Genomic DNA, 16517 nt, shown 5'->3' on the forward strand with positions numbered 1-16517 from the left:
ATCCCTGATCCAATCACTGTGTCAAGGACTAAAAGAGTATGCGGAGTGGCCTTCACCAATCAGAGCACACATCTGGAATGGGAGGTGGGTTGTCCCTGCCCACCTTCCATGATATATAAGATGAGGCAAAGTGTAGAACCCTGAAATGGACTGGGAGGTGTGGTAGATTCAAGGTACCTGCAAATTCTCTGACACTCTTCTTCTTGAGAGTTGGGTCTCAATGCCCTGCCATTGAGTCTGAGCTGGCCTTCATGACCCATCTGATCAACAGAATGAAGCAGAAGAGATGACCTGGGACTCCCCAGCCTAGGCCATGAGAAGTCTTGCAGCTTCCACCCAGGACACCAAGAACACCCATGCTTGGAGCCCACCAACTTGGCCAAGAAACCCAGGGGAGTCCGGCCATCCAGGTAATCCCCTGAGGCACCACACATGGGACTGGAACCGTCTTGCCCACACAGCCCACCTGGGCTTTCAGATGGCTCCTGGCCTAGCTGCTGCCTGATCACAACCGAATGAGAAGATCCCCAAGACAGAACTTCTGAGCTGAGTCTGAGTCACTCACAGAACCCCCAGAGACAATAAATTGTTGCTTTAAGCAACTGAATATTATAGAAGTTGGGACCAGAAGTGGGATGCAGCCATAAGAGCCATGGGGAATGGGCTTTGAACCAGGTGGCAGATGGAAGTTGAGAGAACCTTGGGGAAGACTTCCAGAGGAAGCTGGGGGGACAAGGAGGAAATTGTGATTACAGGCTAGAAAAACCAAGGATCTTGTTATGCAGAAAAGTTTGGCAACACTGACCCCTGTAGTAACGTAGAAAACAGAAAATAAACTTAATGAATTACTTGATTTGATTGAGGACATTTCCAGGAAGAGTGTTGAATAGTCCAACTAGCTTCTTTTAGCTACATAGTGTAAGATAGAGAAGAGCTAAAATCAAAATATTTCATTTACAATAAATTCAGAAAAAAATTCTAAATAACAGAATTTGCTGGATTTAGAATTAAGTTTCTTCTTCATTCCCATGCCCTTCAGATGGCAAATGCTCTCAAAATAAAAAATATAATCTTCAGAGTAAAGAATATCTAATGGGTATGGCTATAAGACCCTGTATTGAGACTTCAGAAGATGTAAGGGTGCGACTCATAGGCTCTCTCAGTAGTTCTAAGAATCTCAGGGCATGTGAAACAGCTACCTGATGCTCAGCCCAGGAGAGAGAGGCCTGTGTTGGAGAGAACCGTGAGGATAGTTTTTGCCTGATGATGTGAATCCCAAAAATATTCACAGGAAGTCCTCCTAGGAAGTACAAAGAGATTTACTCTCCAGAAGCTATGTCCATTTAAGGATACAGTAGGCCTCCTGGTCCACAGAGGAATACGTACCAAGACCTCCAATGGATGCCTGAAACCATGGCTAGTGTAGAACCCAGTTCCTGTGGATCAGAACATGACTCTGCTCAAGTCTTTCACCCACAAATTCAATGCCTTTTCCATCTTAACTAAGCACGTATCACACACTGTGGCTGTACCTGTATCATGCAGTGTGAGGTGTGAAAACAAAACTGTACAAATTTCTTTTTTCTGCTTCACAATATCCCAGATAAGAGATGCTTTTACTGTAGATCTTAGCAACCTTAGCCTACAATATTTTTTTCTTTTCTTATTACGTTGAGAACTTCCGTCTTCTCCCTTAAAGGAAGCACTTTATGGCTTCTCTTTGGCATGTCAGAATTGCCAGCATCACCACCATGCTGCTTTGGGGCCATTATTAAGTCAAATAAGAGTTACTGGAACCCAAGTACTGGGATGCCACGAGAATCCATCTGAAAACCTAGAAGGCTGCTGAGTGACCAATGTTCAGGGAGCATATACAGCGTGGATCCTCTAGACAAGGGAGTGATTCACATCCCAGGCAGGATGGGGTGGGATGGCTAGAGATTCCACCACACTACCCAGAATGACCTGTGTTAAAACAGGAAGCATTTATTTCCAGAGTTTTCCATTTACTATTTTCAGACCGTGATGAACTATGGGTAAGAGAAAGTAGGCTGCTCCACTGTGAAAGTGGGATGACTTAGAGGGTTGGACCAGGAACCCAGCAGGTGGAGCTGAGCACCACAGAATCATTCCTGGGGAACAGCAGGACATGGCCGTAATCAAAGACTCTGGATTTCAGAATTGCTATGGACCAGTGACTGCTATGGGCCTCCCACTTCTCTCTTGTTGGCCAGGGTAATTGATCACAGTTTTCCCTTGCCTGTGTCACCGGTGCATGTCAGGTGCATGAGTCTTCAGACTGAGGGGATCATACTCAAAAAACTACCCCTGAAGGTGATGGCATACCCAAATAGCCTCGTCTGCACCTGGACTTGATTTCTGTGACAAGATCCTGGACCTGAGAGTCTTTCTGAGCCTACTCTGGCTTGGGAGGCTGCCCGATTTAAGGACCTCAAGCCTAAGCCTGATGCCATAATGGGATGAGACTTTGGGCATCTTGGCAGGAAGGGTGAATGGTACTTCATGTGGTAGGAATGTAAATAATTTGTGCCGGGGTGGACTGTGGCAGTTTAAGGATAACCAGGAACACTTCAAGACTCCTCCTATCAAGAGACAGGGGCTTAGACCTGTCCCCTTGAATCCAGACTGGCCTTCAGGGATTATTTGACCACCCACAGTTCTACTTTCTGCCTTCTGATTCTAGGGACCTCAGATAAGTGGAATCACGCAGTGTCTGTCTTTTGGGGACTGGCTGTGTCAGAATTGGGGTGTGGGCAGGGCTGGTTCCTCCTGGGGGCTGTGGGGAAGATCTGTCTCTGCCTCTGACAGCTTTGCAGCACCCATTAGCGCTCCTCGCCTTGTGACGCCTCCTCTGGGCTCTGACTCCTCATCACGCAGCCGCTTCCCGTGTGTCTCCATGTCCCCTTTTCCACTTACACAGTCACCAGTCATTGGATCCAGGGCCCACCCTACACTCAGGGTGATCTCATCTTAAGATCCTTGCCTTATTATGTCTACAAAGACCCTGTTTCCAGGTAAGGTCCCATTCTAAGGTGCCATGTGGACATGAATTTGGGGTATACCTCACCTTGCTGTAAGCACCCACCACGCCCCACCCTTCCTTCTTCTATCGACCCTCCCATGTGGGAAGATTGGCACCATCCACCCCACTTTACAGATGGAGAAGTCAGGGGCAGGGAGGTGGGGGGGACCTGGCCGGGTCACTCCACAAGCAAGTGACTGAGGCAGGCACAGAGCCCCGGCAGCCAGGCCATGCAGTTCCAGCACTTCCCGGCCTCACGGCCGTTGGCTGGGCTCTGCTGGTGACCCCGAGTGCCGTTTCATGCTGGGCCCAACAGCCTGTGCCACAGCTGGACACCCCTCGGAGTCCAGGCCCTTGGCCACCACTCGAGTCCAGAGCAGGGCTGGGTGGCCCCTGCTTCTGGACACAGGAAAACGGACTCAGATTCAGACAGCCCTGGGTCATCTCTGACCCTCTTCTTCACCGCCACCTCCTCCCTCCTGTCTTCCTCCTCTCTGGGCACTCACGAGCTCAAGGAGTATGTGTGGTATACACATGAGATGTGCACACACACATCACACTGCACAGACCCCACAGGCCCCACACACATGCTGCATACACGCCGTGCAACCCACAGTCCTGAACATGCCCCCACACACAGGTCCCAGGTAACCCCCCACAGCCCTGCACATACAGGCTCCCCACACACACAGACCCCACACACACCCTGCACACACACACCCTGCACACACAGGCTCCCACACACACCCTGCACACACAGACCCCACACACAGACCCCACACACACCCTGCACACACACACCCTGCACACACACACCCTGCACACACACACCCTGCACACACAGGCTCCCACACACACCCTGCACACACAGACCCCACACACGGCCTGCACACACTCGCCCTGCACACACAGACCCCACACACACCCTGCACACACTCGCCCTGCACACACACACACAGACCCTGCACACACAGGCCCCGTACATGCCCTGCTTGCACACCCTCTCTGCAGCTCCCACAGCACCCCCGCATCCACAGTTTCCCACCCTGGCCTTGACGGGGAGGCTCCCAGCAGAGGGTGTCCATAGGGGCTGTAGGTAATGGACCCACCTTCTCTCCCGCATTACCTGGGGCTGCCCAAATCTGAGTTCACTTCCCTGCATCCAGAACCAGAGCCCCCGCCGCCAGCCCTACCGGGGATTCAGGTGAGTGGCCAAGAGCCTGGCTGGACTTCACGGGGTATCCAGCCGCGGCACAGGCAGTCAGGCCCGCCATGAAGTGGCACTTGGGGCAACCCGCAGAGCCCAGCCAAAGAAAGCACGTGTTTCGGTGAGAAGCGAGTGTGGTTGTTCTGCAGGGAAAGAAACCCTCCCGGGCGTGCAGAGCAGATGAGCTCACTGAACAATTCGGGGGTGATTTCAGCGCTAAACTAACCTGGGCTCTCTCCCACCCTCAGTGCCCCCCATCAGTCAGGAAAACAGGGCAGACAGACGCCCAAAGGGCTGGAAAGGGGAGACCCCCGCCCCTCGGAGAAAGACTTTGCACAACCAGGAGCCAAAGGGACCAGCCCGGCCCAGGCAGTCACTCTCAGGTCATGCTCTGCGGACGAGGACCCTCAGAGGGCATGGGAAGCTCTGGAGGCCAGGAGCAGGGACACTCAGGAAATGAGGTCCGGCCCTGGGACCCCCAGTGGGTTCAGGTCCCAAGGAAGCTTCCTTCTGGTCTGCAGAGCAGCAAGGGTAGAGAGGCAGTGGAGCAGGGGACAAGTGCTTAGTGACCTCACCATCCCTAAGTCACCTGATGGGAACGGCCCCAGGAGGGGAACATGCTGAGCCACGGCTTCCCGGACCCCTCAGTTCTGCATCCCAGCCTTTCCCTCCAGACTCTAGCCAAGCTCACAGCTGTTCAAGGACATGAGGAAAAGGGGTGAACTTGCCTGAACCCCTAAAACCCACAAAGTCGTCAGGAGGCCCCAGCAGGCAGGATCTGCCAAGGCCCATAGGGCCTCCTGCTCTGGACACTTGACTGGGGCTCCTGGAGCAAGGACTTTTGTGTTCTCCTGTCTGTGTCTTCCTTCCCAGTGACCAGATGGTTGACAAGATGACTGAGGTGCCCAGGGGGACCTCGGGGAGGCCCCTCCTACTTCAGAGCAGCCGATGCTCAGCACCCACCTGGCCAGCGGCCACATCACTCAGCAGCCATGGACCAAGATTCCCCGCCCTCTCTGAGCCAGCTCAGTGGTCAGTGTGTGCCAAGGGCTGAATGCAGGATCTCCAGCCTGACCCTTCCATGCAGAGGGGCCTCCTCCTGCAGGGATTCTAGAACCTTCCCCTGTGGGCACAGCTTACGCCTGCCACCTGCCCTGGATGGAAGAGGCACCAGGGGCCCTGATAGCCTCCTTCTGGAGCCCGCAGCTCAGGACCCTCCAAGAAGGATCGAGGACCCTGAGGGCAGTGGAGGAGAGGGCTGGACGGATGACCCCAGAGCCTCACCACACACAGTCACTGGTCCAGCCATCATGGGACCCAGAGAGGTCACCGGGGATATCCTCATGTGTGGAGAATATGCAAACAGCAAGAGAAAAACATTTTCTCTCATAAGGGGGCCCTTCCCCCAACACCTGGGAGGCTGCACAGGGAGCAGACGGCTCCCAGCCAGGAGAGTAAGTCCCCGGCTTCCGGCCATGCTGTCTCAGCTGGCCAGCTGCACAGCCTTCAGAGGGTCACCTGACGGCCACAGCCTGGCTTTGCTCCCTTGTGAAACAGAAACCACAATGCCGGCATCACAGGTTTGCAGCCAGGGCTACAAAACAGAGTGTGACACCATGTTCACTCACAGCACCACTCAACAGCAAAAGGTGGACACCACCCAAGTGTCCCAAGTGGAAGAACGGATCGGGTAACTGTGCCATGTGCATACAGCGGCATATCACCCAGCCCTAAAAAAGGAAGGAAACACTGATGCACGCTACAACATGGATGAACCTTGAGGACATCACGCTCGGCGACGCAAACCAGTCCTCAAAGGACAGATACTGTGTGATTCCACTTATCTGAGGTCCCTAGAATTAGAAGGCAGAAAGAACGGTGGGTGCCAGGGCCGCGGGGAGGGAGTGGATGTTTAATGGGGACAGAGTCTCAAGTTTTGCAGGATGAAAAGGGTCCTGGAGCTGGACGCTGGTGAAGGCTGAAGAACGCTGTGAATGTACTGAACGCCATGGAACTGGATTCATAAAAAGGATTGAGATGATATATTTGATACTATGGATGTTTTACCATCATTAAAATATATGCACTTTCCGTGTGTGTGTGCGCGTGTGTGCGTGTGTGTGCGCGTGTGTGCGTGTGCGTTTGCACGTGTGTCCGTGCATGTGTGTGCGAGTGTGTGCGCACGTGTGTGTGTGTGTGTGAACTTTGCTGTGCACATGCAAATGTTGTACAGATGCAGCTGCTTCATTGAAAGGCCAGGACCCGTGGAAAGGGCAGTCAGGAAGTAACCTTGTGTCCCCGGGCCTCCTGCCCACACCTGCCCTCCAGGGTCTCTTCTCCTTCTGGACAACAGATCAGGCAAAGCCAGGGCCATTCAGGCAGCAGCGGTTTGCACAAAGTCTCCTTTCCAGATGTCTCAAAGTCTGTCCAGTAGAAATCAGACCTCCCTGGCGCCCAGGAGTGTTTCTCTTCCCCCCGCTGGAGCCTCATGTCCTCCCCTGGGACCCCGGCTCCCCTGCCATGGGGTGGCCCCTGGTGTCCTCCAACAGTGGCAGGCAGACCTCTTGGGTGGGTTTTTAAGATGGCCCCAGTCTGGTCACCTCTGGGATGTGTTCTTACCCAAGGGAAAACGCGAACATCTGTGTCCTGCCACTCAGAAGTGCCTTTGGCTCCTAGGAACAGATTCATGCCCCACCTGCCAGCTCAGGCAGGCAGAGATGCCGCAGACTGGGGAGCTACAAAGGCATGGACACGGCGAGAAGCTCTCTCGAAGGACTCCCGGTGAGCCCACCTGTCCCAGTGGGCAACAATTCTTCCAACACACATTTCTTCCTGCCTCTCCTCTAGCCTGCAGGCTGGAGGCGGGTGATGGTGAAAGGAGGGAAGCCGCCTCTGCCCCCAGCATGTCCTGCGGATACGGGGTCCCTTTTCTCCGAGGGGCTCAGTGTCCACCACACCACCAGCTCTGGGCTTTGGCATAACTTCAAACATCAAGGGTGGCCAGGATGGGGCAGGAGCCTGGAGTCCCAGAGGGCAGCGGTTTCGGGGCACCCTGGGGCCTGGGACAGTGCCTGCGTGCAGTGGCCCTGGCTCAGCACTGGCTTATGGGCAGTTTGAGGATCAGGAGTTCACATAGGACTAAGGTACCTTCACCAACCCCACAGCTACAGTCAGAACCATGGCTGGCAGAATCACAGCCACCATAACCCACAAGGATGTGCACATCTTTGTCCCCAGCCTGTGAATGCATGACCTCATGTGGCAAAAGGCACTTTTCGGACAGGTTAAGTTGAGGATCTTGGGACAGAAGGTTATCCTGGATTATCTGAGTGGGCCCAATGTCATCAAGGAGTCCTCCCGCGGGGAAGAGAGAGAGACAGGCTGTGAAGACAATGGACTCAGAGAGAGAGGGTGCTGGGAGAGGCGGCGCGGCTGACGTTGAAGATGGAGGAGGGGCCCTGAGCCAAGGAATGCAGGTGGCTCTAGAAGCTGGAAAAGGCCAGGACACAGATTCTCCCCTGAGAGGAGCCAGCCCTGCAGACACCTTCATGCCAGGAGTCCTGCCCCCGGAGCTGTAAGAGAGGACACTTGTGCTGTTTCAAGCCCCTCAGGCTGTGGCAATCTGTGGCAACGGCAATGGGGAATGCAGGCAGTGGTGCGGATTCGTGCAGGTCACCCAGAGGTGCAGCGGCACCCAGCAGAAGCCATGCAGACGACTGTCTGTGCAACCCTGCTGCAGAGGGAGCCACACAGTGCCCGGGTGACCGCATTGCACATGAGCACGCGCAAACAGGGCCAGCCAGCACCAGGTCCAGGCGCATGCTTCCACATCCGAGTGCCAGCGTCCTCACGCGTCCCCAGGGCTGACACATTTGTTTTGAATTACTCTGGTAAGAAGGTAGGGGCTGTGGCATATTAATAGCAGCTCCCAATTGAGCCCATTTTAGCTAACACTGGAAAAAATGAGCTGCAGTAGCACAGGGCAGGCTTGCAGTAATCGTCTGACAGGCGTAAACCCCATTTGCCCGTCTGCAGACAGGCCTTGTCATCGCAAGCCACCATTTAGAAGACGTTATGTCAAGCGCCTCTCATTGACGATCATGTGCAAATGGTTTGCATCTTGTTAAAATCCAATCCTGGTTTGGATTTCTTTCTGCAACGCCCTTGATGAAGACAAGCTACGTCTGTTTTGTGTCAGCTGCTGTCTCTCTCCTGAAATCCGCTCCTTCTGCACCGAGTAACATTTCCCCCCAGACGCTGGCCGCTCTTTTGTGGGTTGGGCGCGTGAGGATCCCTGACTGCGCTGGGGAGCCAGCAGTGGGAGCCCGCCCAGACGGGAACAGGGGGCCGCCCCCAAGCAGAAGGCCGTGATCAAAGGGGCACACGTCTTCCCTTTGGTCTTAGGTGGTGAATTGGCTCTTGGAAGCCCCTGCCACGGAGAAGCCTCTGTTCCTTTGAAGTGTCAAGATGAGACGGCGCCCGGAGGATTTGTGTCAAAACGTGATCTAAGGAGATGTCACTCCTCGTGTCTCCAGTCAACACGTGGCTTTGTGATGGTTAAATTCAGAAGAACCTTATCACAGATAGAAGGCCTGCTTGGGGGGATTAGTAATCAGGCACACTCGGCCCTTTCGAAAAGCCTCTTTCTTCACTGGGACTCTCTTCCCCTTTGCTTGTATAAGCCTTTAAGAAGGGTACGCAAACAGCTGGAAGGCTGGTTCCCAGGTGACCGGGGTGCATCAGGCGGCACCCTGAGAGATGACTATGGGTGGGGCCTCCTGAGGGCTAGCAGCAGAAGCACCGCCCTTACGATGAATGCTGGGCCCCATCGCATTGTGAAGTAGTGGGTCTGCTGGCAAGGGAGGCATGCGAGCAAGGCTGGGTACCCACATGGCTCCTGCAAAGAGGGGTCTCCAGATGGGGTGGGCGGTGGCTGGAGGTCCTCAGCCCATCTGTGTTGGCTGATGTGTGCTGCCCTATCCTTGGCTGCCTTCCCAACTCTCAGGACCGAAAGGCATCATTGCTTTGAAAACAAGTGGTCCGTGGCTGAGAGCCATCCGTGCGTATCTTCCCTTTGGGTCTGTGCCATCGTCCTGCTTAATGTTGCAAATGGATGGCACAGATATTTAACCAGGTCACTGCAATCCCTACATCCTCATTCAGTGAGCTTCCAACTCAGAAGGCATCCCTGCTTTCAGAAATAACACTGAGAACTGTAAATGTCTGTCGTTTAAACCAAACACATGTCCTTGCTTTATGAAAGCCTAAGTAATTTGTGACCATTTTCTTCTGTTATCTCCAACCCAGGGTTTTATTTTGTTTTTGTTTGTTTTCATTAGCTTATTAGTTCATTTTCATGCTGCTGATAAAGACGTACCTGAGACTGGGAAGAAAAAGAGGTTTAATTGGACTTACAGTTCCACATGGCTGGGGAGGCCTCAGAATCATGGTGGGAGGCGAAAGGCACGTCTTACATGGTGGCAGCAAGAGAAAATGAGGAAGAAGCAAAAGCGGAAATCCCTGATAAACCCATCAGATTTCATGAGACTTATTCACTACCACGAGACTAGCAGGAAAGACCAGCCCCCATGATGCAATTACCTGCCCCTGGGTCCCTCCCATGACACGTGGGAATTAAGGGAGTACAATTGAAGATGAGATTTGGGTGGGGACACAGCCAAACCATATCAATTAGTCAAAGGACCAGGACAGAGGTTTTCAACCAGTCACCACTATAACCCCGTGGGTCTCCATGAGAGCTGAAGGGACCCATAATATGGGTAACACATGCCCCCATGGTGCCTATAGGGTCTGGAGCCCTGGGCTCATACACACACATGCAGGAGCTCCTGCACACACCTGGAAGATGAAGAAGAGACTGAGGGCCAGGAGGGGCCCCTGCTTTGATTTGCCCAGTGTGAGGCTGTACCAGAACTGGCCTCCAGCTCTGGGTCTGGGGTGCACTGGCCTCATGAGGGGTGCCCTGGAGGCCCCAGCAAAGAGAGCGGTGCTTTCCCAAGCAGCCACAGACAGGACAGGGACTGAGAATCCCAGCATCCACTTCTGGGTGGCAGCCAGCACCCTGCCCAGGGTCCATCTGGCATCTGGCAGGCCTGATAAACACCAGTGTCCTCCCCACTCAGGTGGCCCCAGAACAGCAGATGCCTTGGAGCATGGGCCTCGGCCTCAGGCACACCCACTCCAAGGCCCCAGCTGGCAGACCACGAGCAGAGTGGCCTTAGGGAGCCACTTGGTGGTCACCGGCCCCAGGTTCTCCAAGTGTAGACAGGGGCTATGGATTCCCCACTCTCAGGGAGGTTCAGAGGTGATGTTCAGAGGACACGGTGCCAGGTCTGAATGGGACGCGCATCTGCACCGGGTCCGAATGGGACACTCATCTCTGGCGGATGTGAGCTGTCGGCGGTGATGCCCAGCATCCCTCCCTCCCTCCCGCATGCTGCTCAAACAGGGTTTCCACCTGCACCCTCCTTTAAGTGTGGGCTGGACCGCCGCCCAGAGGCTGAGGGGCTCCTGGGCAAGAAACTACATGCAAGGCAGAAGGGGCCGCTCTGGAGCAGAGCTGGCCTCCAGCGCTTGTCCTTCCAGCCGCATCCTGCAGATGTGCTGACTGAGACAGGTGCCTGTCCCAGGGATAGACCGGCCCAGGTGAAGTCTCTGAATGGTGCTGGGGGCAGATCTTGATGGCAGAGAGGAACACAGAGAGCAGAGATTCATCCCCTGCATGGCCCTGTCCTCCTCATTGCCCACAACTCCTCTAGGAACTACTATGGTTGTTTCCGTCTCAGATCAAAAGCCCAGCATTCATACCGGGGCTGCGTGACCTGAGATCTCCTCCTCTGCTGCACCGTGGTCAGTGGCAGCCCCCGAAGAGCAGCTTCCCTAGGGCTCCCGCCCGGCCTGAGTCTGCCCTGGCCCCACTGCACACCCTGGCCACTTGGGCCTCCGTCTGCCAGGTCAGCCCTGCCACACACTGCATGGTGCTGTGAGTACCCTGTACTTCCCAGAAGCCCCAAGCACTGTCTTCCTTCTTCCCAGGGTCCTGAGAGGCCTTGGCACAGGGCAGAGGACACGTGGGGACTCTCTTGGATCACTGAGCTCTGCAGATGGGAATCCCCACCCTGAGGCTTTTGAGAGTGGAGAGAACTACTGCAAACCCCAGGACAGCTGAGTTCAGGTGGGAGACGGGCTATAACTTGGCTGAGTCCAGATGGAAGAGGGGCTATGACTCGGCCGAGTCCAGGTGGGAGAGGGGCTATGACTCGGCCGAGTCCAGGTGGGAGAGGGGCTATGACTCGGCCGAGTCCAGGTGGGAGAGGGGCTATGACTCGGCCGAGTCCAGGTGGGAGAGGGCCTATGACTCGGCCGAGTCCAGATGCGAGAGGGGCTATGACTCGGCCGAGTCCAGGTGGGAGAGGGGCTATGACTCGGCCGAGTCCAGGTGCGAGAGGGGCTATGACTCGGCCGAGTCCAGGTGGGAGAGGGGCTATGACTCGGCCGAGTCCAGGTGGGAGAGGGGCTATGACTCGGCCGAGTCCAGGTGGGAGAGGGGCTATGACTCGGCCGAGTCCAGGTGGGAGAGGGGCTATGACTCGGCCGAGTCCAGGTGGGAGAGGGGCTATGACTCGGCCGAGTCCAGGTGGGAGAGGGGCTATGACTCGGCCGAGTCCAGGTGGGAGAGGGGCTATGACTCGGCCGAGTCCAGGTGGGAGAGGGGCTATGACTCGGCCGAGTCCAGGTGGGAGAGGGGCTATGACTCGGCCGAGTCCAGGTGGGAGAGGGGCTATGACTCGGCCGAGTCCAGGTGGGAGAGGGGCTATGACTCGGCTGAGTCCAGGTGGGAGAGGGGCTATGACTCGGCCGAGTCCAGGTGGGAGAGGGGCTATGACTTGGCCCCTCATGCCCCTGGCTGCACTTGCTAAGGATGAGTCCATCATCCAAGCCACCATGCTGGATTCAAAAGGCATTCAGAACTGGGAGACCAGAAATTTCCATGCTGATTCAGAGGTCAAAGGTGAGACAATCTGGAAGAGCTGAGAGGGAGCCAGCAGCTGGTCTGGCACTAGGTATTGAGAAGTGATGCCAAAAAATGTCCGTGGACCTACTTTTGAATTCAGTAAAACATGGCAGAACATTCCGAGGCTTCCCTTGCAAGGGTAGCAGGCTCACTTTGAGAGAGGGCAATACCTGACTGGGCAGACCCAATGGCCCTGTCCCTTCCTCAACCTCAGAGGCCAGCTGCAGGGAGGCCATGCCTGCCTGTGTCCCCAGGGCTGGGGCCACCTGCCCGGCCAAGATCCCGCTCACTCTTCTCTCCGGAGAGGGCAGGCATCACATCCAGGGAGGCCCTCCCAGCCCAGAGGGCCATGCACACTCCACAGGTCCCCAGAGCAGCTGCAACCTCGAGGCCTCGTGCTCCCCGCCAGCCCTGCGTCCCCGGGGCTCAGCTCACCCTCAAGCAGAACAGCAGTGGCATCGGAATAATGTCAAAGGCGCCAGTGCTTCCTTCCTACACACCTACTATGCACCTGTCAGATCCCCATGAGCTCTGCAGAGACAAGCCCAGGAATTTACACCTCATGGCTGTCAGGGCAAGCAATGCTGCTCCACAGCTTAGCCCCAGGGACACCACAGAAGCCAGGAGGCTGACGTGAGAGCCGGTGTAAGTCTGAACACCCAGGGACAGTGAGACCAGCAACGCCTGGCTGGGCAGGGTGGGGGGTGGGGGAGGCCTGAGACAAAGCTGCCGCCCCACACGAACAGGGACAGCAGGAGGCCCTGGGACAAGACTGCCCAGGCCCAGGGGGTGACTCCCCGCACCCAGCACATTTCTCTTAACAGGTTCCCAGCAGGACCCCCGGCTGCACCCCATCCGGGTACCCATTTCCGGCCGTGGCAGCCGACACCCTCCTACCCCAGGGGAAAGTACATGGTCTGGCCGCTCCAGCCCCACAGTGCAGAGCTGACCCAGGAGGCAGGACAGGCACCGGATCATCAAAGCGGTGGAGAAGGCCCTGGGGATGTGGACTGAGGGCAAGAACCAGCCAGAAATGCCTGGTGGGGAAAACACAGACGTTGAGCCCGTGGGCCTGGCGGGTGGGTTTACGAAGGCAGCAACGTGCCTGGTGCGGTGGGGCAGGTGGAGGAGTCCCGTGAAGGTGTGCGGTGAGGCAGAGGTGTGAGTCGGAGCAGGTGTGGGAAGGGTGTGAAGAGGGTACTAGAAGCAGAGGTGCCCCAATGCGGGGCCAGAGTCACAGGGACAGAGAAAAGTCAAAAGGATCAAATATTTCCAAAGCAAGTTAATGAGAAAATCTTCCGGTTAAAAGCAGGGATGAGCCCTCCTACAGCAAAGGGCACAGGGAGAGGCAGCCAGGTGGCACACACACCTCCTGGAGAAACTCGGGGACCTCCCAGGGTAAGACAGGAGTCTGGAGGGTCAGGACACATCACTGGCCTCTGAGTACCAGCGTGAGATTCATCACCTTGCCCCACCGAATTCCAAGAGCCAGCAAAAAAGCAAAGCAATGGTTCAGAGCATTGAGGGACATGAACTTTAGACCTGGCATTTCAAGTCCTCCAAGCTAGGCTCCAATATGGGAGTGGATGGCTTCCCAGACTCGGATGTCCCGATCTGTGTCCGAGAGGCACTGGAGATAAACAGGGTCGGCAGGAGGGGACGGGCGCTGCTGCGGTGGCAGGAGGAGAATGCATCAGGAAAGTGCTTAGGACAGCCGAGAGTGTGTGGGATAACCTGGGATGAAAGCCACAGGGGCTACCAGCACAGGGCTGCTGAGGAAAGAGGGGTGCTGCCTCTTCCCTTCATCGGGCACCCAGGGCAAGCCCCACACTTTAAGAGGATGCCGAGCTTCTCTGGTCATTTTTAAAATTAAATTGAAGCAACACAAGAAGTCTTCTGTCCCCTAACCCCAGGAACAGCGCGATCGAAGCCTTGGCAAGTGGCATGGGCGGGGAGGCCCCACGGGGAGCCTCGCCCGAGGGCACAGGGTTCCTCAGTGTGCCTCCCTGGGAAGGCAAGGGAACAACAGACATGGAAGGCGCCCACAGGGCACAGACTGTTGCCATGAAATCCCATGGTTAGGAATCCATTGCAAGCAAATCATCTAAGTGGGGAAGGGCAGGGGTCCCAGAGTGCCCTCGGCCCTCCGTTTGCACAGGGAGATGGGAGGACCTGCCAAGGGCAGCAGTGATGGGGAGGACACCCCAATGCATTGCTTGAGGGGAGGCCTGGCCTGAGGCCACCTGGACGCCTGTGCTGCCTCTGCGTGGCATCTGGGGACACCGAGCGGAGAAGGGCTGACCCCACACGTGGAGGCAGAGGGATGAGGCTCAGGCAATGGCCACTGCCTCCCTTGGATGTTTCTGTATTTTCTGTGTTTAAAGTCAGCAAGTATCACTTTTATAAACGAAAAAATGCCCTTCCTATGAAAGAAAGAAAGAAAGAAAGAGAGAGAGAAGGAAGGAAGGGAGGGAGGGAGGGAAAGAGAAAGAAAAAGAAAGAAAGAGGAAAGAGAGAGAGAAAGAAAGAAAGAAGAAAGAGAGAGAGAAAGACAGAAAGAAAAAGAAAGAAGAAAGAAAGAAAGAAAGAAAGAAAGAAAGAGAAGGAAAGAAAGAAAGAAGGAAAGAAAGAAAAATAAAATGTTTAAAATGGCTCTGAGGGTGTTCCTAGTCACTTTGGCAATGGCGTTAACAAGAGCTAGGACAGGCGCTGAATCATCAAAGCGATGGGGAAGGCCCTGGAGATGCTGGTGGGCAAGAACCAACCAGAAATGCCTAGTGGGGAAAATGCAGTCGTCAAGCCCGGGGGGCTTACCTGGGACAACCTGAGATTAAAGCCATATTCGAACACCATGCCAGCCTGGTGGCCGTAGCCTCTGCCCTCTGACCCCTGTCTCCTGGGTATTGTGGTGCTGCTCCCTCTCCCCTCTCCGAGTGGCCCCTCTCTGCCAGCTGTGTGCAGCTTCTCCAGCGCCCCAGGGGCCAGGCCCAGGCAGGGAACACACCTGCTGCTTCATGAAGCATGGAGGACATGGGGAACCAGCATGGGGCTGGACCCTGCAGGGGCTTCAAGGTCCTGAATTGCCAGCCAGCTCCCACAGGCTCACAAAGGGGCCGGCACTGATAAGCACCTAGGGGAGGAGCTGGCGGAGAGGTGGGCTGGGCCCCTCAGCAGGGCTGGCTTCACCCCCACAGAGCTCCCACGAGGATCCCTCGCCATCCCCTCCTCACCAGGCTCCAGCCCTGCCTAGACGGAGCCTCCCTGTCCCTCCCTAGTCCTGAACACCCTTACCCACTTCTTCAGCTCCGGATAACTCAGCAGCCAACGTCTCTAGGAAGCCCTTCTAAGCCTCCCAAGGAGGGCCGGGGTCATCTGGGGCTGGCGCAGGAGAACGGAGACGGGACTGGACCGGGTTTGGGCAGGGTGAGGAGGAGCTGGAGGAGAGGGCCACAGGTGGTCCTGGGGTCCTCTGGGGTGGTGGCTGGTTGGATCGATTTGAGCTGTGGGGACCTCACATTAGGCATTAGGGAAAGAGAAATGCGTGTGATCTGGGCAATGACCCCCGACCCCTCGGGAAGGTTCCAGGCAGCTGCTGCTCTCCTGAGACTCCACTGACGCAGCTCAGCCTCTTCACTCCCTACTCAGCTCACCCTCAGAAGCCTCCGCTGCCTGCTGGGCATGCAGACCCCTCCTCAGCCCCTCCGGGACCCTCCCCACACCACACCCTGAGTAGGATGGGGTCGTGAACGGCCCCAGCACCAGGAGCGACCCACACCCCTGCAGAGTCCAGCAGCCACTCGGCCGCCTCTTCCTGGTTCTCTTGGTGGTGCACCCAGTAGGAGGGTGAGAGGGTGGGGGTTTGGCTGACAGATTCATGAGCGACAAGGGGATCACCTGAAGTACACCCCACCCACTGCATGCCGCCCTCATGCCACCAGGCCCAGACAAGCCCAGGGACACTCCTGCTCCTCACCCTCAAGGGAGAGGCTCTCCCCCTGGCCCTGAGCAGGGGTGGCGCCCAGATCCTGGCACCCAAGAGTTCTTTGGTTCCCCCAATGGAGGGATGCTTCCTCAGGCAGGGCTGACGCCCTTGGATAGGGCTGACCCCTTAGGGTGGAGCTGAACCCCTAGGGCAGGGCTGAGCCTCCTTGAGCAGCGATGAACCCCTAGGGTAGGGCTGACTCCCTTGGATTGGTTGATGGGCCTCAGTGCCTGCTCTCCCCTCAAACCAA

The 16517-nt window shown here is 56.1% G+C and overlaps 2 annotated features.

Annotated features, from left to right (window-relative positions):
- Window positions 11064-11711: an enhancer, noted in NCBI's record as "H3K4me1 hESC enhancer chr2:241293407-241294054 (GRCh37/hg19 assembly coordinates)". NCBI's record gives its function as "activates a minimal SCP1, AML or CMV promoter by ChIP-STARR-seq in naive H9 embryonic stem cells {active_cell/tissue: H9 hESC(naive)}" and the evidence as "EXISTENCE:reporter gene assay evidence [ECO:0000049][PMID:30033119]".
- Window positions 11712-12359: an enhancer, noted in NCBI's record as "H3K27ac-H3K4me1 hESC enhancer chr2:241294055-241294702 (GRCh37/hg19 assembly coordinates)". NCBI's record gives its function as "activates a minimal SCP1, AML or CMV promoter by ChIP-STARR-seq in naive H9 embryonic stem cells {active_cell/tissue: H9 hESC(naive)}" and the evidence as "EXISTENCE:reporter gene assay evidence [ECO:0000049][PMID:30033119]".

Source organism: Homo sapiens, chromosome 2 (assembly GCF_000001405.40).
Source record: "Homo sapiens chromosome 2, GRCh38.p14 Primary Assembly".
Classification (NCBI taxonomy): Eukaryota; Metazoa; Chordata; class Mammalia; order Primates; family Hominidae; genus Homo; species Homo sapiens.